At 44.3% G+C, this 24,162-nt stretch overlaps 1 protein-coding gene and 1 pseudogene across 18 annotated transcripts in view, besides 9 other annotated features; one reads left to right on the top strand and one right to left on the bottom strand.

Annotated features, from left to right (window-relative positions):
• Positions 2,471 to 2,642: a silencer, noted in NCBI's record as "fragment chr16:25033996-25034167 (GRCh37/hg19 assembly coordinates)". NCBI's record gives its function as "represses an EF-1alpha promoter that drives an FKBP-Casp9 reporter gene in an ReSE screen in K562 erythroleukemia cells {active_cell/tissue: K562}" and the evidence as "EXISTENCE:reporter gene assay evidence [ECO:0000049][PMID:32094911]".
• LOC100421171 (thyroid hormone receptor interactor 11 pseudogene) lies at positions 2,937 to 9,339 on the bottom strand (annotated as a pseudogene).
• Positions 9,723 to 10,391: an enhancer, noted in NCBI's record as "H3K27ac hESC enhancer chr16:25026247-25026915 (GRCh37/hg19 assembly coordinates)". NCBI's record gives its function as "activates a minimal SCP1, AML or CMV promoter by ChIP-STARR-seq in primed H9 embryonic stem cells {active_cell/tissue: H9 hESC(primed)}" and the evidence as "EXISTENCE:reporter gene assay evidence [ECO:0000049][PMID:30033119]".
• Positions 9,723 to 10,409: a biological region, named in NCBI's record as "H3K27ac hESC enhancer GRCh37_chr16:25026247-25026915".
• Positions 9,810 to 10,059: a silencer, noted in NCBI's record as "silent region_7292". NCBI's record gives its function as "represses an Ori minimal core promoter by ATAC-STARR-seq in GM12878 lymphoblastoid cells {active_cell/tissue: GM12878}" and the evidence as "EXISTENCE:reporter gene assay evidence [ECO:0000049][PMID:35858748]".
• ARHGAP17 (Rho GTPase activating protein 17) overlaps positions 9,948 to 24,162 on the top strand; it is a 95,981-nt gene continuing 81,766 nt past the window's right edge. For 13 of the 18 annotated variants that reach the window (XR_950809.3, NM_018054.6, XM_047434318.1 and 10 more), the window contains exon 1: positions 9,948 to 10,108. Coding sequence is in view for 16 of the 18 variants with exons in the window: in NM_018054.6 (NP_060524.4) it covers positions 10,056 to 10,108 (53 nt within the window). In the remaining 2 variants the exon portion in view is untranslated. Of the gene's footprint in view, positions 10,109 to 10,438; positions 10,642 to 10,688; positions 11,455 to 24,162 lie in introns of those variants that run through there. The other 5 variants (XM_047434315.1, XM_047434311.1, XM_047434312.1 and 2 more) reach the window with 5 other exon arrangements.
• Positions 10,140 to 10,189: a silencer, noted in NCBI's record as "silent region_7291". NCBI's record gives its function as "represses an Ori minimal core promoter by ATAC-STARR-seq in GM12878 lymphoblastoid cells {active_cell/tissue: GM12878}" and the evidence as "EXISTENCE:reporter gene assay evidence [ECO:0000049][PMID:35858748]".
• Positions 10,250 to 10,299: a silencer, noted in NCBI's record as "silent region_7290". NCBI's record gives its function as "represses an Ori minimal core promoter by ATAC-STARR-seq in GM12878 lymphoblastoid cells {active_cell/tissue: GM12878}" and the evidence as "EXISTENCE:reporter gene assay evidence [ECO:0000049][PMID:35858748]".
• Positions 10,360 to 10,409: a silencer, noted in NCBI's record as "silent region_7289". NCBI's record gives its function as "represses an Ori minimal core promoter by ATAC-STARR-seq in GM12878 lymphoblastoid cells {active_cell/tissue: GM12878}" and the evidence as "EXISTENCE:reporter gene assay evidence [ECO:0000049][PMID:35858748]".
• Positions 10,392 to 11,060: an enhancer, noted in NCBI's record as "H3K27ac hESC enhancer chr16:25025578-25026246 (GRCh37/hg19 assembly coordinates)". NCBI's record gives its function as "activates a minimal SCP1, AML or CMV promoter by ChIP-STARR-seq in primed H9 embryonic stem cells {active_cell/tissue: H9 hESC(primed)}" and the evidence as "EXISTENCE:reporter gene assay evidence [ECO:0000049][PMID:30033119]".
• Positions 15,050 to 15,149: an enhancer, noted in NCBI's record as "active region_10601". NCBI's record gives its function as "activates an Ori minimal core promoter by ATAC-STARR-seq in GM12878 lymphoblastoid cells {active_cell/tissue: GM12878}" and the evidence as "EXISTENCE:reporter gene assay evidence [ECO:0000049][PMID:35858748]".

Here is a 24,162-nt window from a genome sequence, read left to right as displayed (position 1 = left end):
TAGCCATGAGAAGATTCCTGGGGCATAAATGAGACAAGATTTTGTAGAACTTTCAAAAAGAAGTCATTACAAAATGAGACACTTATAAAGAGTAAAGAATTCTTTCAGAAGATAGAAAGATAGAGAGATACGGTGGTTGGTTGCTGGAGGAGCTGAAAGGAGAATGTGATGTATCAGGAGAAACAGCCATGCTTGTGTGCTTAGGGATAGAGACAGATGAAAGACAAAGCAGAATGGGAGATCAGTAGAATGAGGTCTTTGAAGAAGTCTGAATAGATAATGTCCAGGGGACTGTTAGCCTTCAATTGCAAAGCTGGATCCCTTTCCTCTGAAACAAAAGGGAAGGAGTATAGATGAATGAAGAGAGGATGGTGGGATACAGGAAGGGGGTATGGGGGTCTTGACTGCTGGTCTCTAATGTCTTAATAAGGCATGATCATGCCTGAGCAAAGTGATAAAGATTTGGAGAGGCCCTTGAGGAAATAAACAAGGGAGTTGCCCATGAACATTTCCTAGGATTTGGGGCACAAACAAATGCTGACGAATAGGAGCTAGTTAAATAAATTACAGTATATGCATAGGATGAACATCTGCTTTTAGAAAGAATAAGATGGCCTGGGTCAGGCGTGGTGGCTCACGCCTGTAATCCCAGCACGTTGGGAGGCCGAGGAAGGCAGATCATGAGGTCAGGAGATCGAGACCATCCTAGCTAACACGGTGAAACCCTGTCTCTACTAAAAATACTGAAAAAAAAAAAATTAGCCGGCCCTGGTGGTGGGCGCCTGTAATCCCAGCTACTCGGGAGGCTGAGGCAGGAGAATGGCGTGAACCTGGGAGGCAGAGCTTGCAGTGAGCCGAGATCGTGCCACTGCACTCCAGCCTGGGCGACAGAGCAAGACTCCATCTAAAAAAAAAAAAAAAAAAAGAAAAGAAAAGAAAAAATAAGATGGCCCGATCTGGTGGCTATGCTTGTAATCCCAGCACTTTGGGAGGCCGAGGCAGGAGGAATATTTGAACCTGGTAGTTTGAGGTTGCCATAGGCTATGATGTGCCACTACACTCCAGTCTGGATGACAGAGACCGACCCTGTCTCTAAAAAAAGAAAGATGATGATGAAATCATTCACAGAATCTGGAAAGATGTCCAAGATGTAGTGAGATATATATATTTGTGTGTGTGTGTATATGTGTATATATGTGTATGTATGTGTATACATAATACATACATAATAAAATAAGAATAAATAGAAAGCAAATCAGAGAATACACTGACATATATGCAAATATGCACTTTTTTAATATGTATATATACGTATATATGTATGTGTGTGTGTGTGTATATATATATATATATATATATATATTTTTTTTTTTTTTTTTTTCCCCAGAAAGCAGCTGGCACAGTGGCTGATGCCTATAATCCCAGCACTTTGAGGGGGCCGAGGTGGGAGGATTGCTTGAGTTCAGAAGTATGAGACCAGCCTAGGCAACATAGGAAGACCTCATCTCTTCAAAAAAATAAAAAAATTAGCAGGGCGTGGTGGCACATGCCTGTGGTCCCATCTACTTGGGAGGTTGAGGTGGGAGGATTGCTTGGGCCTGCAATGTTGAGCCTGCGGTGAGCCATGATCGCGTCACCGCAATCTAGCCTGGGCGACACAGCAAAACTCTGTCTCAAAATAATAATGATGATGATAATAAAATAAGAATAAATAGAAAGCAAATCAGAGAATAATACACTGACATATATACAAATATGCACTTTTTTAAAAAAATCAAAAAAAAACCAAACAAACAAGTAAACAATAAGGTGGTTTTCTAGGCAATGGAAAGGAGAGTGAGTCGTAGCCAAAAAAGGGAACTTTAATTTTTAAAATGTTATACAACTTGTACTTTTGTGCTGTTCATCTTTTTTCTTACGTAAGGAGTATACACCTATGGTGTTTCTAATAGTTGATCCTTAACACTAATATATATATATTTTTTCTTTTTTTTTTGAGACATGGTCTTGCTCTGTTGCCCAGGCTGGCGTGCAGTGGCATGATCACAGCTCACTGCAGCCTCGACCTCCTGGACTCAAGGGATCCTCTGCCTCAGCCTCTGGAGTAGCTGGGACTACAGGCATATGTCACCACGCACAGCTAATTTTTTAAATTATTATTTGTAGAGACGAGATCTCACTATGTTGCCCAGGCTGGTCTTGAACTCCTAGGGTCAAGGAATCCTTCTGCCTCAGCCTCCCGAAGTGGTGCTGGGATTACAGGCGTGAGCCATCGTGCCTGGCCACAAATTAATATTTTAATTAACCAACATATACACAAATACCTGTTTCTTGCAAAAAAATAAAAGCATTATAAACCCTACCTGAAGTATCCTTTGACCACAACCTCCAATGTCACCAATACCCACCTTCACAAGAAGTAATCACAGTTTAAAGTTGGGTGAATACCTTTACAGCCCTTCAAAGACACTTAAAATCATTAAGAATATTTTTATTAAATTTAAAGAAGCTGAGTGCAATGGCTCACACCTGTAATCCCAGCACTTTGGGAGGCCAAGGTGGGCGGATCACTTGAGGCCAGGTGTTTGAGACCAGCCTGGCCAAAATGGCAAAACCTCATTTCTACTAAAAGTACAAAAATTAGCTGGGCATGGTGGTGGGCGCCTGTAATCCCAGCTACTCAGGAGGCTGAGGTGAGAGAATTGCTTGACCCTGGGAGGTGGAGGTTGCAGTGAGCTGAGATCTCGCCACTGCATGCCAGCCTGGGTGATAGAGTAAGACCCTGTCTCAAAAAAAAAAAAAAAAAAAAAATTAAAGAGAGCAAAACTGAGAACAAATAAATGACTATTTCCTAAAGGCTACTTAATGATAAAGTAGATACACAGCATGGCTTGATCTTTCCTAGTCTCTGAGAATCATCCATTGCTTTGACAGCCTTTCAGCCCAGCTCCTGCCCTCTGGCCAGGTGAAGTCAGCAGAGGTGCACATGTGGGCAAAACCTCTGCAGCAGCATTTTATAGAACATGCCCTGACCCACCCGGTCCTAGTCCAGTCAGCCTCATAAGTGACACAGCAGAGGAACAGGGATTGGCATCTGTTCCTCTGGGTATGAAAGCTGGTGTGTTTCCTAAACTTTGTTGTATATTTTTATTTATTTATTTGAGACGAAGTCTCGCTTTGTTGCCCAGGCTGGAGTGCAGTGGTACGATCTCCGCTCACTGCAACCTCTGCCTCCCAGGCTCAAGTGATTCTCCCACCTCAGCCTCCTGAGTAGCTGGGATTACAGACGCCCACCACCATGCCCACATAATTTTTTTTTTTTTTTCAAGTAGAGATGGGGTTTCAGCATGTTGGCCAGGCTGGTCTGGAAATCCTGACCTCAAGTGATCCGCCCACCTCAGCCTCCCAAAGTGCTGGGATTACAGGTGTGAGTCAATGCACCTGGCCCATATTCAGTTTTTCATTTAATGATTTCACCTGCAACCTTGCTTCCTGGCTTGCATTTTTCATTTGATTTGCAGAAGAAACTAGATTTACCTCCAATACTGTAACTTTTTTTTTGTTTGTTTTTTGAAACAGAGTCTCGCGCTGTCATCCAGGCTGGAATATATTGTCGTCATCATAGCTCACTGCAGTCTTGAACTCCTGGGCTTAAGCGATTCTGCCTCCTCACTTCCAAAGCAGCTGGGGCTACAGACGCATGCTACCATGCCCAGCTAATTTTTTAAATTTTGTATAGAGAGACAAGGTCTTCCTATGTTGCCTAGGCTGGTCTTGAACATCTGGGCTCAAGTGTGACCTGCCTGCCTCAGCCTCCCAAAGTGCTAGTATTATAGGCATGAGCCACCACACCTGGCATATTAATCTCTTGTAATGGCTGATATATACATATATATATACGTGTGTATATATATATATATATATATATATATACGCATATATATATATATATACGCATATATATATATATACGCGTGTATATATATATATATATATATATATATACGCGTATATATATATATATATATTTTGAGACGGAGTCTTCTCACTCTGTCATCCAGGCTGGAGTGCAGTGGCACGATCTCAGCTCACTGGAACCTCCGCCCCCCCGCCCCAGGTTCAAGTGGTTCTCCTGCCTCAGCCTCCTGAGTAGCTGGGACTACAGGTGCCTCCCACCACGCTTGGCTAATTTTTGTATTTTTCATAGAGATGGGCGTTTCACCATCTTGGCCAGGCTGGTCTTGAACTCCTGACCTCATGATCCACCCGCCTTGACCTCCCAAAGTGCTGGGATTACAGGCGTGAGCCACTGCACCTGGCCTGTTTTTTTTCCCCCCTGGATGTTTCTACTACTTTTTCATTGTCCTGTTTTAGTTTACCCATATGCATTTCTAAAATTGATATTCTCTCCTTCAGGTTTCTGACTGCCTGCCTCAAAAGCTCATTTTTATTCATTTATTAGTGAGATTTTCTCTCTAAGAATGTAATTTACTACTTTTGGCTTTGATGAAAAGGTTTTTTCCCCTAAGTAACCTGTCTAAGACATTTTGTTTCTCCTTCAGCTGCTGAATTTCTGAATGCATTTATATATGTTCTTTTCTTTCTAGCTCTGAGATGGCAGCAGTGGAATCAGACAGTCTCTGATTGTCTCCTTGGAGGGATCTAATGGTTGCATCTTTTTCCTGCAGTGATTTTCTTAGCTCTTCAATATCTTGGAGCAATTTAGAAGACTCACTCGACAGAGCAGACTCACTTGCGTGAGGAGATTCTGCGGCATGTGAAGAAAGTGCTTCTCTGGGGAGCTGGGGTAAAATATCCAGCTGTGGGAAGAAACTGTCCTTGCCGTGACAGAGCTGTCTGATGCTGTGCTGCGTGTGTGCTAACTCCTGCCCCAGGTTTTTGAGTTGAGTTTCATTCCCTTCGTTTTTTTGCATCAGGTCACTACAGTTCATCTGGAGTTTAAAATCATTATCACTGTCAGTTAAAAGCTTTGCTTGAAGGTGACAAAGTTCTTCTTGGAGTTGGGCTGCCCCATGCTGCACCCACTGTGGTCGCCAGCTGCTCTTTCCATTTTTTTCTTTCTTTCTTCCTTCCTTCCTTCCTTCCTTCCTTCCTTCCTTCCTTCCGTCCTTCCTTCCTTTCTTTATTTCTGTCTGTCTCTGTCTTTCTTTCTCTCTCTCTCTCTCTCTCTCTTTCTTTTTGAGATGGAGTTTCACTTTTGTCGCCCAGGCTTGAGTGCAATAGTGCGATCTCAGCTCACTGCAACCTCCGCCTCCCAGGTTCAAGCAATTCTCCTGCCTCAGCCTCCCAGGCACCCGCCACCACGCCCGGCTAATTTTTTTTTGTATTTTTAGTAGAGATGGGGTTTTGCCATATTGGCCAGGCTGGTCTCAAACTCCTGACCTCAGGTGATCCGCCCGCCTCGGCCTCCCAAAGGGCTGGGATTACAGGCATGAGCTACCACGCCCGGCCCACACTTCCATTTTCTTAACTGGCTGTTTTAATTTATTAGGTCCTTGTGGAAGCTCCTCAAACGGATTACCATTAACACCTCCAATCTCATGACCAGTGCTGGATGCTTGCAAAATTGTCACTAAAGTTTGACATTCCTGACTTAATGCATCTGTTTCAATGTCTTTTTCTAGAATGAGACATGATGACTTCTGAAAAGTGTCTTTAAATTTCTCCTGACCATTACTAGTGGACAGTTTTTTATTTTCCTCTTGCAGCTTATGGGGGCCTGTTTCATTACCAGCAATAATATCCATTGTTTGGTGATCTTCCTTTTTGAGACAGCTATTTTCTTGAGCTGCCTTATTCCAAACAGCCTGTATTTGTTCTCTGTCCAAAGCAGGTGCTTGCAGTTGCTGCTGAAGGTGAGCAACGCCCTGGGTGTCAGAGGCTGAAGCTGTTCTAGCCTGAAGGCCCTGCACCTCTGTATCTTCCTGACCAACCCCATTGATGGACAGCTGATCCATCTGTTTAAAGTCATATTATTTTTACTTATAAATTTATTCTCCAATTCTTTCTTTCCCCCTCTGGTCCTTGATTCAGGATTAATCTCCAATTCTTGCTCTTTCATTCCTTTCACTAATCTTTCAGTTTCAGATTTAAATAAACTATGCGTTTCACTTCTGCTTTCTATATTGGGACATTCAACTTCTGTTGCTTGAAAAATGGCTCAGAGTCTTTTAATGTCTTGTCCTGTTTCATGCAGCTGGGTTTTGATTCTTTTCCTATTGTGTTTTGCAAATTCCTAATTTCTTCACCTTTTACTGAAAAGAGCTGGGTGTATGTGATACTCATTTGCTTGTGCTGGTTTTAAAAATCATCCATTTCCTACTTTTTTCTCCTCTTTTAAAGACTGAAGCAGTTGCATCTTACTCTGTGTTTGCTCTTCAATTATGGTTATTTATTTATTTATTTTTGAGACAGAATCTTGCTCTGTCGGCCAGGCTGGAGTGTAGTGGCACAATCCTGGCTCACTGCAACCTGTGCCTCCTGGGTTCAAACAATTCTCCTGCCTCAGCCTCTTGAGTAGCTGGGATTACAGGCACCCACCACCACACCCGGCTAATTTTTGTATTTTTAGTGGAGACAAGGTTTTGCCATGTTGGCCAGGCTGGTCTCAAACTCCTGACCCCAGATGATCTACTCACCTCGGCCTCCCAAAGTGCTGGGATTACAGACGTGAGCCGCTGTGCCTGGCCTCTTCAGTCTTTTTTGTTTTTGTTTTTGTTTTTTTTGACGGATTCTTCTTCTGTTGCCCAGGCTGGAGTACAGTGGTGCGATCTTGGCTCACTGCAACCTCTACCTCCTGGGTTCAAGCGATTCTCCTGCCTCAGCCTCCAGAGTAGCTGGGACTACAGGCACTTCCACCGCACCTGGCTAATTTTATTTTTAGTAGAGACAGGGTTTCACCATGTTGGCCAGGCCGGTCTTGAACTCCTGGCCTCAAGTGATTTTGGCCTCCCAAAGTTCAAGTGATTTCTTGAACTCCTGGCCTCAAGTGATTTTGGCCTCCCAAAGTGCTGGGATTATAGGCATGAGTCACCATGCCCAACCTTCAAATATATTTTGATGATACTTTATTCCCTCCTCAAGATTACCTTTGATTATTTTCATTTGAAATATCTCCAATTCTAGTACCATAATAGTATCTACCATTCTAGGCTCAGCCACAGGGGCAGTTAGACTTTGTTGTCCTCTGAGTCATTTCAATTCTTCTATCAGATTTTTTTTTCTTTCATGGATGCAAGACATCTGTCTTTTTCCTCTATGGTTTGCTATGAAATTTCTTTCTTTCTTTCTTAAGGTTTTAGTATAATAATTCCTCTGGAAGCTCTGAACTTCCTTTAAGTTTTTTTTTAAAAAAATTGCTTTCTCTCTTATAAGTTGTGTCAATTGCTTCTGCTCTTCTCAACTAGATGACAAAATCAAATCAGTCTCTGATTGTCTTCTTGGAGGGATCTAATGGTTGCATCTTTTTCCTGCAGCGATTTTCTTAGCTCTTCAATCTCTTGGAGTAAATTTAGGAGCACTTTTTCTTTAGTTTCTTTATGGTCAGTGTCCATCTGTTTAATATTCTTTTTTTTTTTTTGAGACAGTAACCTTGTCACGTTGTCTCTGTCACCTTGACTGGACCACCCTGTCACCTAGGCTGGACCACCCTGCAGAGGCCAGATCTCAGCTCACTGCAACCTCTGCCTCCAAGGTTCAAGCGATTGTCTCGTCTCAGCTTCCCCAGCAGCTGGGATTACAGGCGCCCGCCACCACGCCTGACTAATTTTTGTATTTTTAGTAGAGACTGGGTTTCACCATGTTGGCCAGGCTGGTCTTGAACTCCTGACCTCAGGTGATCCACCTACCTCGACCTCCCAAAGTGCTGGGATTACAGGTGTGATGCATTGCACCCAGCCTCAATATTCTTTTTGAGTGCTGACATTTCAGAGTCTTTCTCGTGGCTGAGTTTAATTACACACTCTTGCTCTAGCTGTAAGGCAGAGCTCTCCAGGTTAGCTTCAGTGGACAATCTTTTCATGGTTTTCTCAGAGTTGTTTCTTCCAATAGCCTCTTTTCAGCTAGGGGTCTCACTCTGTCACCCAGACAAGAGTGCAATGGTGTGATAATAGCTCACTGCAGCCTCAAATTCCTGGGCTCAAATGATCCTGTTGCCTCAGCCTTTCAACTAGTTGGGAGTACAGGTGCATGCCACTGCTTCTGGCCTTTTTTTTTTTTTTAAATTTTTCATAGAGATGAGGTTTTAGTATGTTGTCCAGGCTAGTCTCATACTCCTGAGCTCAAGTGATCTTCCCATCTTGACCTCCCAAAGTGCTAGGATTACAGGTGTGAGCCACTGCACCTGGCCCCAGAAGATAATTTTTTATTTGTCTTTTACTCTATGTTCAAATTCTTCAATTTTTTGGTAGACTCTACTTTTTCAATTTGTAGAGCTTGCATGAATAGTGTTTTCCTTCTCTTGAAGTTTAGAGAGATCATGTACTGTAATTCCTGAGCCACCTTGCTGTAACAAATTTTCCAGTTCTTCAATCTTTTCTTCCTAATTGCTTAGATTTTCTTGATGCTTACAACTTATTTCCCTCAATTTCTGTTGATGAACATTCTGTAATACTGATAATTCAAGCTGATGGTCATCAGTATCCTGACTTCTTTTTTGTTTGAGCTCCTTGATGATATTAATATTTGGTGTTTGTAGTTTGTAGATTTCATTTTCATCAAAACTAGTTGTTCCTCCTATTTTATAAGTCTGAGCAATACATTTCCAATGGCCAACTGGAGACTCAAGTTTTAGAACTTCATTGGACTATCTGTTTATTTCTTGTTATGATGAAATTATGTCATAAAAACCCATGTAAGCGTCGTGGAACACTGAAGCATGATGGGTACCACATGGAATGGAGGGGATGCAGTGTGGATGGGAACCTCCGGCCTTCCCTGAATGTGCTGACTCCAGGGCTGGCTGCCGGTCCTGCAACCGATCCTGTAGTGCTTGCTTTCTTGTTTTAGGAAGGCTCATTTCTACCTCTTTCTGTTGTAATTGATGTCGATAACTTTTAGTTTGCTGCCCTATCTGAAGCTCTGATGCTTCCTAGGTCTCTCCTAGGTCACTAAAAAGATCTTGAAGTCCCTCATTCTTTGATATTAAGAATTCCAAACTGGCATCAGTCTCCTTTATCCCATAGTTAGGGAGCTCTTTCCTTTTTCTATGACATTTAGGAGCACATTTGAGATGTGGCTGATGAAAGAAGCCACATTGCTGCCCATCCAATGCAAAGAAGGGGCTTACCTGGAGCCAAGGCCACCAAACCAGGAAGACATGAGTGTGTGAGCACGTGTGTTAAGGAAAACACACATTGACTTTAATTTTTTTTTTTTTTTTTTTTTTCGAGACAGGGTCTCTCACTCTGTTGCCCAGGCTGGAGTGCAGTGGCGCCATCTCGGCTCACTGCAACCTCTGCCTTTCGGGTAAAAGCCGTTCTCCTGCTTCAGCCTCCTGAGTAGCTGGGATTACAGGCGTCCACCACCACGCCCAGCTAAATTTGTATTGTTAGTAGAGACAGGATTTCACCGTGTTGGCCAGGCTGCTCTCGAACTCCCGAGCTCAAGTGATCTGCCCCCTCGGCCTCCCAAAGTGCTGAGATTACAACGTTGAACCACTGCGCCCTGCTAGAAACAGCTTTTCATACGTTGAAATAAACGAGAGGGTGACCGGGCAGCGTTGGGGTCGGGGAGGCCAGGCGGAGGAGGCCTAGTGGTCTTCTCGCCCGGGGCCTTCTAGCTCTTCGCCCGTGTCAGGTAAGGCACTGTTAGCCTCGGCTCGGTTCGACTCGGCTCTACTCGGGCTCAGCTCGGCTCGGCCAGACCTAGAGGGCGGGCGGGCGGTGCCACTGGAAGTGACGAGGCGAGGGCGGGGCCGCCGGCCCGGGGAGCCACCGCCGCGCCGCCGTTTGGGCCGGGAAGCGATGTAGTAGCTGCCAGGCTGTCCCCCGCCCTGCCCGGCCCGAGCCCCGCGGGCCGCCGCCGCCACCGCCGCCATGAAGAAGCAGTTCAACCGCATGAAGCAGCTGGCTAACCAGACCGTGGGCAGGCGAGTGCGCCGGGCAGCACGGGGGTCGCACCGGGGCTGGGGGCGGAGGGCGGAGGGCGCGGGGGCGGGACGGCTCCTCCGCGGTCCGGCGGCTCTGAGCTGGGCCGCAGCCCCTGCCCGAGACCAGCGGGGCACGGGCCCGGGGGCTGCGCCGCGCTGAGGCCCGAGCGCCGCGCTCCAGGCGGCCCGCCTGTCTCTCAGCGCCGCCGGGCTCCCGAGACCTGCAGGGGAGGGCCGCCGCCTCCTCCGCCACACCGCGGGGTCCCCTGCCCATTGTCCCTGCCCCGGGAGCATCGCCCTCGGGGAGTAGACCCGGTCCTTCTCCTCCCTTCCCGGGGGCCGAGCCAGCTGGGATCGCTGCCCTGGGCTCAACAACGGTGACTTCTGTCCCTAACGCTGTGCCGAGCGCTGTGCTGTGGGGGGCGGCAGTCCCAGGCTTTCCCGGTGCTCCCGCTGTTTGCGAGTCCTTCTCCTGTAAGTGCATGGCGGCAAGAAATGGCTAGAGGGACATGAAAGCCAGCCGGATTTGCTCAGTGAGTTCAGAACGCCCTTTGAGGGAATTCGGAGGTGGTGCTGTCTCAAAACCAGGGCTCCTAGGAACTGGACTGCTGCTGCCAGTTCTTGACATTTAGAAATTAGGAATTGGCGGAAAAGGATTATGGAGACGCCTTGCGCCAATTTAAAAAGTCTCACCTTAGGTTTGGAAACAAATGCTTCTTTATCTTCCTTTGCTACGGTTGAAGTGCTTAACAAGAAACGTTATTGATTATTAAATGGCAGGCTAGACCAGAGTTGGTAGATCAGGTTGTCAGAACAAGAAATGATTTGTGGTTTTTGAGAGTTTCTGGAGGTGACTGTCATGTGCTGTATTATCTGGGGCTAATATTTCAAGGTCTTTCAGGGCAGCTGGCTGTACTGTACCGATTTAGTGTTTATTCAGCAAAGAGATACGAAAGTATGAATTTCTCACAGCTCTTCTTTTGATTTTCTGTTTTTAACAGTTAAGGGGAGTTTGGTTTGGCTGAAGCACGTGGGACACTTCTTTTTTTTGAGTGTATGAAAATACTTTTACTTCCTCTCGAGTTTTCTAAATTTGCTTTTTACTGTTTCATTTCCTCCATCTTTTTGCTTAGTTTCCTTGTTTAATTTTTTCGATTCCCTACCGTATTATTGTGGTGAGAATTAACTCTTATTTTCAGGGTTAATCGCTGCCCCTAAAGCCCAGACAAACCTACTTTTCTGTTATTTGCAGGAAAATTAAAGAAATAATGCTGAGAGGAAGGTAGACGTGTGGTAATGGCGGCTGATGTTTCAAGGAACAGTTTACAAGCACATGATAATTTCTTGTGAGTTTCGTACCCTTGTTAGTGTTCTGAGCAACGTGCATTGTGGAACTAGTATTTAGTAAGTGCCAAGATACATTTGTCAAATAGTCGTTTGGCTTGTTTTTACATTGTTCGTGACAGGTAAGGGACTTTCACTCTTTTTATACAAAGTTCTGAGACTTAAATCTACCAAGCTATTTAGGGTCTCTTTGACTCCTGGGTCATCTTAGAGGCTTCTCCCTTCACACTTTTTTTTTTTTTTGAGACAGGGTCTCCCTTTGTCACCCAAGCTGGGGTGCAGTGGTGCGATCTTGTCTCATTGCAGCCTTGACTTCCCTGGGCTCAAGCGACCCTCTCGCCTCAGCCACCTATGTGGTTGGAACTACAGGTGGGCACCACCACATCCGCTAATTTTTGTATTTTTTGTAGAGTGGGGATTTGCCATGTTGCCTAGGGTGGTCTCGAACTCCTGGCCTCAACTGATCTGCCTGCCTTGGCCTCCCAAAGTTCTGGGACTACAAGCGTGAGCCACCTTGCCTGGCACCTTCACATTTTAAAATTCCGGCCATGCTTGCCTACCTTCAGTTTCCACAGGAGGTCTTGCTTTCTTACCTGCTAGCATCTACTTGGAACTCCTGGAAGCCTCTCCCACCACACCTTTTCTCCAGGCACCTCTTGCTCATTCTTCAGCCTTCTGGGAAAGGTCCCTCTGCCTCTGAAAGGCCTTCTATGATGCTACAGCATAGATTGGATGCCTCTCCTGGGCGTTCTTGTAATCCTGTGTAGCACTTGCTTTTCTGTGCTGTGACTGCCTCTTGTGTGTGTTCTCCATCAGATAAATACCTTGAGAGTCCTTGCTGTGTCTCCTTTGATTCCCAGGGTCTGCTGTGGTTCCTACCCCATGGCCAGGGTGCAGTAGACATTGTTAATTCTGGTATTTGAGTTCTTACTAGATCGCCTTGGTGGTGTGGGCCCGAGTATGGGAAAACATGAAGTGGATAGAGTAGATGGTGATTCATGCTGGAGCTGTAATTCTGGGCCTGACCTTTGACTGTCTTTAAAAATCTTTATTGCTAGATGCCAGTGGAAGCTGAAGCTATTACAGAACTATTAAGGGTGTGGCAATTATGCACCCAAAGTCAGAACATCTGTTTTTAACTGGGAAACCTGTTGCTTCCTTGCTGTTGATTTCCTAGATGTGTGTGTGTATGTGTTTTCTGCTTAAGTAATCAGAAAGGACTAAGGAAGATAAACGGAGGCTGGAGAGTGCCTAGAATTGTTACTGCTTGGAAGTAGGTGGTTGGTTGGCCCCAGAATCAGGATTCTGGGTGTTTTTAGGTCAAGATGAAGGCTACAAAGCAAAGGGTTTTTTTGTTTTCGCCCCTGCGATCTAGGTGGAGAAGGAAGTTATATATGTGAATGTCATGCCCATCGTGTTTTGGTTTATCAATTTGTGGAATTCTAGGTGGTGTCTTGCAGTGAGATATTCTCCTCAGAAGGGAGACCTTTGAGTACTTTCACTGTAAGGTTCCAGGGGAGGGACTTGTAGAGAATTAGTAATGCCTGGAAGGAATGAGTTCGCATGATGCAGTTTGTTTACGATGGGTGGGTAAGTCTATTTGAGAAGACGGCCTGAAACTCACAGGGGCAAGGCTTATGAGGTGGTCTCATGGTGTGAGTGTCCCAAAGAAGAGAAGTAGGATGGTTCTTTTAGTCCACCTGCCTTTTGTTGATTCATGCATTCAACAGACACTTGTTGAGCCTACACTGTGTCCTGTTATCCAGGGTATTAAAGAATCAAAGGTGAATACGGGCATGGTTTCTGCCCTGAGGGAGCTCAGGAGATACGTGGAAGAGGTAGGCAGGCAAAAAATAATTATATACATGAGATAAGTGCTTAAGAGGGATGGCTAATGCACAGAGCAAAACCCAGCTGTCATTGGATTGAGGGAGGTAACAAAAGCTTCCCAGAGGAGAAAATCTGAGCACCTTTCTCTGCCTTCATTTTCAAGCCCTTATTTCAAATATCTCTTGTATTGATTAGGTCTCTTTTGGTTGTAAGAAAACCCAGTTCATAGCAAAGACGGGAATTGATTGGCTCATAAGTGACCAAAAGAGCCTCTAATAAGTAGTGTGGCTGCAGATTTGGCTTCTTCTGGGGGTTCCACTCTTTTTTTTTTTTTTTGAGACGGAGTCTGGCTCTGTCACCCAGGTTGGAGTGTAGTGGCGCGGCTCACTGCAGCCTCCACCTCCTAGGTTCAAGCAATTCTCCCGTCTCAGCCTCCCAAGTAGCTGGGACTACAGGCCTGTACCACCATGCCCGACTGATTTTTGTATTTTCAGTAGAGATGTGGTTTTGCCATGTTGGCCAGGCTGGTCTCAAACTCCTGCCCTCAGATGATCTGCCCACCTTGGCCTCCCAAAGTGCTGGGATTACAGGCATGAGCCACTGCGCCTGGCCTCGGTTCCACTCTTTAGGTAGGCACTGTGTCCACTGGGAGACTTCCACATCTTCCAAGTCTCAGAGGGAAAGAATACTCATCTCGCAGTCACTGTGGCCCGAGTCCCAGGATTGGCTCTGAATGCTTCTGGGTCACATGCCTTTCCCCAGAAATGGACTGGAGTCAGCGCACCCAAACCATATGGACTGAGAGTGGATGGTAATGGGTGGTAATCAGGCAAGAAATAAAGGTCATGGTGTGTCTTTTGTAGCCCTGCTAAAAAGAGAGATGTTTTGTTTCTTGAAAACCCTTAGATGCAGATCATCACCAATGGTGTTTTTGGGGAGATGATGTCTTGAGTAGAGGAAGGAGTACACTGGGATGAAGACCTTGAAGTTACAGAAGTATCAAGGAGAAAAAAAATTTGAGAGACAACTAGGAGAGCATAGTACTGAGGCTCTGATAGGGAGTGTCTCCTTGGGTGTTGATTTCTTCCCTGACTGAAGTTTCCCTTGGAGGTCTGAATGCTTTCACAGATAGTTGTTTTTTGAGAACCCAAGGTTGTAAACCCAAATGCCTAGAGGGCGAGGCCAGTAAAATGAATCAGTGCTTTGGGCCATGTGAAGGCCTCAGGGGACCTGGAGGACTGTGTCCCACCAAAGGGGCTGCTGTGGTAATGTAGGCCCAGTGTGGACCACCTGTGGAGTTTTCCTGAAATCTGCATTTTAACTAGCTGGCGTTTAATCCAAATTAAACTACGGGGACACTATATGCAGCTGAACAAAATATTTCTGTGGATCACCCAACTGCTTGTCTAGAAGGACTCAGAAATTGACAGTCCCTCTTTTTCATTTATTCCCCTGTACCTTACCCTGATGTTTTCAGTTCTTTGGATTTGTTGAAAAACAGCTCATCCTTTCTTTACTAAAATCTTGAAAAGGTCTGATAGTAACAGTCTATAACATTTCTATGGTGGTTTAGTTTACAAAGTGCTGTACTAAACCACCTGGCTTGGATTTCGTCTCCTGACAATGATAACTTCTCTCTGACAAAGATGGAAACCTGGCTGGGTGGGGTGGGGTGGCTCACGCCTGTAATCCTGACACTTTGAGAGCCCGAGGTAGGAGGATCACTTGAACCCAGGAATTTCAGACCAGCCTGAGCAACATGGTGAAACCCGGTCTTTACAAAAAATACAGAAAACTAGCCAGGAGTGGTGGTGTTTGCCTGTCTCAGCTGCTTGGGAGGCTGAGGTGGGAGGATCAACTGAGCCTGGAAAGTCGAGGCTGCAGTGAGCTGAGATCATGCCACTGCACTCCAGTCTGGGTGACAGAGCAAGACCCTGTCTCAAAAAAAAAAAGAAAAAAAAGAGGAAGAAACCTGACTTTCTAAGTTTGCACAGTTACTGAGTAGTGGCTGAGGCATGGCTTGGGTCCAGGGCCTCTTCCTGTGGTTCCCAAGTGCTTTTGAGTACAGGAACTGGGCTGCCTCTTCACCAGGGAAGGATTAGTGTTTATTAATGTTTATTAAACATCTTCTGTGCTTATGAAGCTGCTGGGCTTGGTGCTTTGCATACTTTTATTTCATTGCATTCTCATAGCCACCCTCTGAGGTGATGTTACTTATTTCTGATTTAATGATGAGGAAGCCAGAGATCAAAGAGGTCATCAAGCTCGCAAGAGACAGAGCCGTGGACCCAAACCCAGGTTTCTGATTCTGCAGCAGCTATAAATTCTGATCACAGAGATCTAATGACCTCTAGGAGTCTTCCACTCCTAGGAGGTATGTAGAATGGACCACTCACTAGGTAGTTGGATCCACTACCAGCAATGTGAATTCTCACACTGAGTCAAAATGTGTCTCTACCTACTGATCCCAGAACAGTCCCCTGCTGCCGAATTGAATGAATCTCATCTCTCTTCCCTGAGTCAGCCCTGCCTGTATTTGATGATCACAAACCTTATCCTTACGTTGCCAGCAGTAACATTCTGCATCCCTCACCCACTCCACTGTGTCCTTTTCCTCCCACTGATCTTCACTCTACCTTTCCTTCCCCCCACCCTTTTTTTTTTTTTTTTGACGGAGTCTCGCTCTGCCGCCCAGACTGGAGTGCAGTGGTACAATCTCGACTCACTGCAACCTCCACCTCCTGGGTTCAAGCGATTCTCCTTCCTCAGCCTCCCGAGTAGCTGGGCTTACAGGCATGAGCCACCAAGCCTGGCTAATTTTTGTATTTTTTAGTAGAGATGGAGTTTTGCCATGTTGGCCAGGCTGGTCTTGAACCCCTGACCTCAGGTGATCCACCCACCTTGGCCTCCCAAAGTGCTGGGGTTACAGGCGTGAGCCACCACGCCTGCCCACTCTGCCTTTTCTAGGGGAACTCTGAACAGTATTTCTGAGAAGGGATAGGTAATGTGTGCTTTGCTTCAATCTGAGTGGATTCCATCAACCTCTCCATAGAGCAGGGTGGAAAGAGGTCCTCTTGTCGTTGCAGCAGCTTCTCAATCTCATCTTTTATGGCCTTATTATGTAGTTTACATGTTAAGAAATCCAGAAGTATTTATAGTTGAGTGAAAATCCATTCTTTACTGGGGGGAAGAAATGAACTCTAAAACCATAAAAATGATGAACCAGTAGAAAATTTTCATCTGTAAATTTGAACCATAAAAGGATATGTTCATTTAGCATCATTTTTATATGTGTAAGCGGCATGTTACGCTATTATGGAATTGCCTTTGTAGCAGAGTGGACGAGGCAAAACCTTCCAAGTTTGATTATGGCCTAGGGCGCTGCAGTCAGTACGTGCACCGTGCATTTTTGTCAGACCACAGGATGTTTCACCTTTATCATTCTATTTCAGTTTCTCAAGTGTAGGTAGATGCTGTAGTAACTAGTGAAGTACAAATCCATGTAAAAATGTTAAACTCTCATCTGTTCGCTGTGTTTGTATTTTCTTAAAGGTAGGGATTAAAAGTGTAATAGGCCCACAGTCCCTTATCTGGAATCATTGGGCCAGATAAGTTTTAGAATTCAGAATTTTTCAGATTTTTCTAAAAGTAATAATATGCATATATTGTTGTTATGTAATACTTCCAGTGGGGTCTGGGACAAAATCCCATAATCAAACATTAGTATAGCAAAATATATATACATATATTCCCACTGAATGGATATGCATGAAGATTATGCATAGTTTAATATCAGTTCAGGTCAACTTTTATTGCCAAATAAGTTACAAAAAAAGATTTGTTTTTTAGAACTTTTTGGATTACAAAATGGTGATAGGGATTGTGGACTTGTCTTACTTTTAGTTATATACCTATTGAGAGTCTGTTAAATTTTTTTACTGTAAATAATATTTCCCATATTCCCAAAGGTTGGAAACCACAATCACATAAGCAGGGGTCACAAACCGAAGTGCCAGGTTGGGTAAAATAAATAAGTGAAATGGGAGGCGGGTATAGGACAGTAGGGAATGTGGGGACTGCAGTGAACTGGTGAATACATGTTCATTCAAAGGGGAGAGCTGCTCTTCAGTTCTAGCCACTTGTTGCCATGGTGAACGTGGGAGTAGTGAAGCTACATCTTCCATTTTTGATGATACTCCAGAATGCTGATTTTCATGTGAAGTTTCTTGATATTTAAATGTTGGCAACTAAAAAGAAAAAAACCCACTGTTGGCCAAAGAAAACATCTGAAAGCATTATCTGGCTGTGGGCTGCCTGCTTTCATTTGTAGTTTAGAGACTAATGCTTGTGGTATGAAAAGTTGTCAGTGAGCCGGGTGCAGTGGCCCATGCTTGTAATCTCAGCATTTTGGGAGGCTGAGGTGGGAGGATCACTTGAGACCAGGAGTTTGAGACCAGCCTGAGCAACATAGCAAGATCCTGTCTCTACACACGCAAAAAGTTTAGCCAGGCATGGTAGCATGTGCATGTAGTCCCCAGCTACTTGGGAGGCTCAGGTGGGAGGATCGCTTGAGCCTGGGAGGTCGAGGCTGCAGTGAACTGTGATCCTGCCACCGTGCTCCAGCCTGGGTGATGGAGTGAGACCCTGTCTCTAAATAAGTAATTTGTCAGTGGCATTCGTAATGAACTACTTTCTTGAGATATGGATGGGTGCATTTGCTTTATTGTTATTCATTATGCTTTACATACACACTATATGTTCTTTGCACATAAAATATTTCATAATAAAAATCTAAAGAAGTTGATAAGCACTTTATTTTAGCATTGCCTTATTTTCTAGCCATTAGGAAATTTTCATCTGTAAATTTGAAACTTTAAACTTATTTATCTTGGAAAAGGGACTGAAAGCCCCACTTCAAAAATAGGAGCCCTCTTTTTAAAAAGTAGGAGTTAAAAGAGGTTAGATTGTAATGTTCATTCCTTTCCAGGGCCATAGTGATCTGAAGTAACATTGGGTATTCACTGTTATATTGCGACAGAGAAATGTCCTCGATCTCCTTTCTTCTCAGACCGTTCCCCTGGGTGATCTCAGCCCCATAACTATCACCTCATGGTGACAGTTTTATGCCTCCAGCCCTGGGGTCTCTTTATCCCTAGAATGATGCTATCATCTCTCTCTTGAAAAATCTCTGCTGACATGGCCTGATAAAATTGAACCCATGAACTTCTTCCTCAAATTGGCTTCATTTCCCTCTATCTTCTAGTCTGTGAGTCACGAGACTTTGGCCTGCAGGGTAAATCCAGCCCACCGCTTGCTTTGTGAAAAAGTTTACTGGAACACAGCCACTCACTACAGTGGCAGGGTTGAATAGTTGCAACAGTGACCCATATGGCCTGCAACGCCTATGGTATTTATCCTCTGGCACTTCATAAGAAGCATGTGACCCCTGCCCTAGGGCATTAAATGCCCTCACACCCTCCCTAGTCACCTGTCAGTCCCATTCTTTTTCCTCCATCATCTCAGTCAGGTGAGGAGACTGGAAATTCTGCCTCTTTGATTATCTTTTTCTTTTTTTTTTTTTTTTTGAGACGGAGTCCCTCTCTGTCACTCAGTCTGGAGTGCAGTGGCATGATCTCGGCTCACTGCAACCTCTGTCTCCCGGGTTCAAGCGATTCTCCTGTCTCAGCCTCCTGAGTAGCTGGGACTACAGGCGCACACCACCATGTCCGGCTAATTTTTTTTTTTTTTTAATTTTTAGTAGAGACAGAGTTTCACCATGTTGGCCAGGCTGGTCTGGAACTGACCTTGATTATCTGTTGACTTCATCTTTGCTTCCCAGAGGCCATCCTTCCTGTTACCTTAATTAGGTGCTCATTATTTTTCACTTGGAGTCAAATTTGTCTTCCAGTTGGCTTTGCTGCCTTGAGCTGGCTTGAGCTGGATTGTATCTACAATTCCCCAACCTTCTGTTTGACATGGTCGGTCACCATTTTAATGATTATAGCTGCTCACCTCTAAATTACTTTTTCATGATGAATTCTCTAGAGGTTAGAATCACTAGATTTATAGGAAATTAATGTTTATATCATGACAGTATTGCCAGGTTGTCTCCTAAGATGATAATGCCGTCATTTAGTTTGTAGTGCAGAAAGTGATGTTGCGCAATAATGTGTGTCATTATGCATGACATGATGAATATCACATTTCACCATCACCTTAGTTGCATTAGATATTGTCCTTAAAAAATTTGTTATCTATTTAAATTTTTTCCACTAAGTTCAAAATGAATGTGTTCTTACATTTGTATTTCTTTATATGAGTTTTCTCTGTATGTGTCATTTGTTTGTCATGGAATTAACGTTTAGTTATCAGTTTCATTGCTCAGTTACCAATTTAGTTCAACAAATGTCTCTTGAGAACCTGTCAAATGATAGGGGCTGGGGTTAAAAATATAATTGATCCCTGGGGACTTGAATGTGGAGACAGAGCTACAAACAGATAATCTGAATGTAACCAGTTTTATCTATTCTAGCAGATCTTAGGTGCTGTTAATGAAATCTTAATGCCATTCTTTGATGTATTTATGTACTTTAATATAAACAAGTTAGCATTCTTGTTCATAGATATGTTCCTCAACAGATACAGTGATGAAACCTTGCACATTCATGACTAGGTACAGATTTAATACAAGTTTCAGAAGATAAAGCTGATTCTATAAAAAATCTAAGATTTCTATAAGAAACTGTCTTTTAAATAGGTAGAGCCTATTATTTATAGCAAATAAAATAATAGGCATGTTTGATATAAAAACAATATTCAGGCTGGGTATGGTGGCTCACGCCTGTAATCCCAGCACTTTGGGAGGCCAAGGCGGGTGGATCTCCTGAGGTCACGAGTTTGAGACCAGCCTGACCAATATGGTAAAACCCCATCTCTACTAAAAATACGAAAATTAGCTGGGCATGGCAGGCAGGCGCCTGTAATCCCAGGTACTCAGGAGGCTGAGGCAGGAGAATGGCTTGGACCCAGGAGGCCGAGGTTGCAGTGAGCCAAGATCGCACCACTGCACTCCAGCCTGGGCAACAGAGTGAGACTCCATCTCAAAAACAAACAATATTCAGTTCATTTCAGCCATGCATCTTGTGAGACTGTGTTTCCTCTGTGTTAATTACAGCTTATTGATTATTTGCATTGGCTACTTCCTTTTGATTATCCCAAGATGTTTCTCTCTTCCTCTCCTTTCCCACAGCTCTTCTTTTTGGACGTCTTCCTTATCAGAGATACCTTTTGGTTTAGTAGTCAATTTGATCTCTCCTTTAATGTTTCATTAGCATTTCTTCTGTAGTTACTCAGTGTTCTTCCACATGGTTTGGCCAAATTTATACTTCTTAAAGAGTTTAAATTAGAAATCACAGACCAAGTAAACAGGTGCTCAAATGAATATAAATCTTAAATAAATGTACAGAAATTATTAAAAGCACCCATCAGCTGTTACCTGTCAGTGTGAATATGTATAAATCAAGCAGCTTGGATATCACGTGGTCATTGGATACTTTCACATGCCTGGGCTGGAGTGACCATTTGAAACCATGGCCAGCGGTACTTTGGGGAAATACACCGAAGTGTTTCTACTTCACCAGATACAGTGAGTGCTTGGATGGAGGGAGTGTGGGCACAGGCACAAAGCAGGGGAGTCTCTGAGATGTGCCTGGGGGTTCAGTGAGGACTCCGCTGGGCATGTAACGTGAGCAATCATTTTTAAACAAATTTTTTCATGGAGGCAGAGTCTTGCTATGTTGCCCAGGCTGGTCTCCAACTCCTGGCCTCAAACAACTCTCCCATCTTGGCCTCCCAAAGTTGTGGGATTACAGACGTGAGCCACTGTGCCTGGCCTTGAGTGATCTTAATAACTGGCAGGTGATAGAGAATTCCAAGGGTAGAGATAGTCCTAGGGGAAACCTAACACTTGAAGAGTTTATCCTTTAACTTAATATTTTTTTTTTGTTTGTAAATTGGGAAAAAGGCAACCATTATGTGATTCTTAGCAGGGGAGCAACTCTCTCCAGCTCTTCTATTTTCAAATCACTTGGGTAGTGATTGCTATTTTCTGATCCATTTGTTAAGTATTTGTAGTATTTAAATTCACAGCCCCTGGTTGCATTTCCATCCAATAGAAGGTGTAAGTTGGTTCTTCAAAGCTTTTTTTTTTTTTGAGATGGATTCTTGCTCTGTCACCCAGGGTGGAGTGCAATAGCACAGTCTCAGCTCACTGCAACCTCTGCTCCAAGGTTCAAGCGATTCTCCTGCCTCAGCCTCCTGAGTAGCTGGGATTACAGGTGTGCACTACCACTCCCGGCTAATTTTTGTATTTTTAGTAGAGACAGGGTTTCACCATGTTGGCCAGGCTGATCTGGAACTCCTGGCCTCAAGCAATCAGCCCTCCTCGGCCTCCCAAAGTGCTGGGATTACAGGTGTGAGCCACCGCACCCAGCTGGTTCTTCCAAGTTTTAAAAAGCTTTAAGGCCAGGCATGGTGGCTCATGGCTATACTCCCAGCACTTTGGGAGGCTGAGGCAGGCAGATTTGATGCCAGGCCAACACGGCGAAATCCTGTTTCTACTAAAAATGCCAAAATTAGCCAGGCATTGTGGTGCACACCTGTAATCCCAGCTACTTGGGAGGCTGAGGCACGAGAATCGCTTGAACCTGGGAAGCAGAGGTTGCAATGAGCTGAGATCCTGCCACTGCAATCCAGCCTGGGCAACAGAGTGAGACCCTGTCTCAAAAAAAAAAAAAAAAAAAAAAGCTTTAAAGCTAGCATACTCTTGTTTTATTTGCCCTGTATAAGCTGATGGAGACCTTTGCCCCAAATAGACAATTTTGTTATACATTGAATATCAAGTATCATTTCTCACAATGTAACTTATTATTTTCTCTAATTTCCATTTTACTTGTATATCTCCTGTTAGAGCCTCTTTTTTTTTTTTTTTTTTTTTTGAGACGGAGTCTCGCTCTGTTCCCCAGGCTGGAGTGCAGTGGCATAATCTCGGCTCACTGCAACCTCCGTCTCCTGGGTTCAAGCGATTCTCCTGCTTCAGCCTCCCGAGTAGCTGGGATTACAGTTGCCCACCACCACACCTGGCTAATTTTTGTATTTTTAGTAGAGAGGGAGTTTTACCATATTGGTCAGGCTGGTCTCAAACTCCTGACCTCAGGTGATCCACCTGCCTTGGCCTCCCAGAGTGCTGGGATTACAGGCGTGAGCCATCGCGCCCAGCCAGAACCAGTTTAATACTCCCATTGCTTTTGCATTTTTGTACTTGCTGGGGTTCATAATAATCCTCAAACAACCCCAACATAGCAGGACTAAAATACAGGCCATCCATGGCCTGGAGCACCAACTTTTGAGAGCCAGGCGATGTTGATTGGCTTCTGTCGTCATCTGTGGAAGTCCATCGTTAGAAAAGCTTCTGTTCCAGTTTTAGGGGGGAATGATGGTTTGAGGGCTACTGTGGTAGAACTTGGGGAACTCTTTTCGGCAAAAGGTTGAGAAAGTTGGTGCTGTGGGAAGTCAGCTGGCAGCCGATGGAGTCAGGACCAGGGAGGAAGGGAAAGGGAACCCAGATAGGAAGCTACTGCAGTAGGCTCAGAGAGGTGATGACGGCAGGGCTAAGACAGCAGCCTTGGGCGGTGACTGGGAAGAACATTGAACACCATGTTTGGGCTGAAGAAAAGAGCAAGGGAAGAGGTGAGGAGCTTCAGGTTAGGGTTGATGTAGATGTTATTTACATAGGGAACAGTAATTCTTCACTTTTTCATTGTTTTACAATGATTCCTTTTTAGAAACATATAATTGTGATATTTTCTTTGACCTTTTATTGGGCTTTCTATTCTATTCCATTGATTTATGGCTTTGGGTGTGTGTATATGTTTGCATCAACATTTTTTTTTTTTTTAGATGGAGTCTCGCTCTGTCACCCAGGCTGGAGTGCAGTGGTGCGATCTTGGTTCACTGCAACCTCTGTCTCCCAGGTTTAAGCAATTCTCCTGCCTCAGCCTCCCCAGTAGCTGGGATTATAGGTGCCCACCACCATGCCCGGCTAATTTTTGTATTTTTAGTAGAGACAGGGTTTCGCTTTGGTCAGATTGGTCTTGAACTCCTGACCTCAGGTGATCCTCCTACCTTGGTCTCCCAAAGTGCTGGGATTGCAGGCATGAGCCACTGCACCTAGCCTGCATCAGTATGGTTTAATAACTGTTGATCTGTAATATGTTTTAAATTGGGTAGAGCTGGTCTCTTACAAATACTCTTTTTCAGGCTGGGTTTGTGGCTCACGCCTGTAATCCCAGCACTTTGGAAAGCTGAGGCCGGAGGATCGCTTGAGGCCAGGAGTTCAAGGCTGCAGTGAGCTGTGGTCCTGCCACTGCACTCCAGCAAGAGACCCTGTCTCATTAAAAAATAATAATAAATATTCTTTTTTCAGTATCTCTCTTACTTTTGTATAAAGGCGAGTTTTGGCATCTCATCTTCTCTAGTTTCTAGAAAAAATTATTTAGGATTTTGATTGAGTTGGGACTCATTTATTCAAATGATGTTTATTGGGTCCCTGTTGTGGGCTAGGCTCTAAAGGTTCAAAAATAAATAAAACCCAGGTTTTTATGGCCTAATAAATCTGTGAACTAAACTTTGAGAATTGATATCTACAAGATGAGCATTGCACATGACTTTGTGTGTACAATCTTTTATATGCTTCCCAGGTATTTTTTTTTGTTTTTTAAATTGAGAATAGTGCCTATTTACTAAACTATGCAACTGATCATTTTTGTTATTTTAGGTACATAATATTATCAGTGTTGTGCTTCTATTTCTGCTTTTGCTAT

Source organism: Homo sapiens, chromosome 16, assembly GCF_000001405.40.
Source record: "Homo sapiens chromosome 16, GRCh38.p14 Primary Assembly".
Classification (NCBI taxonomy): domain Eukaryota; kingdom Metazoa; phylum Chordata; class Mammalia; order Primates; family Hominidae; genus Homo; species Homo sapiens.
The sequence above is the reverse complement of the archived record's forward strand: the minus strand, read 5'-3'. Positions and strand labels throughout refer to the sequence as shown.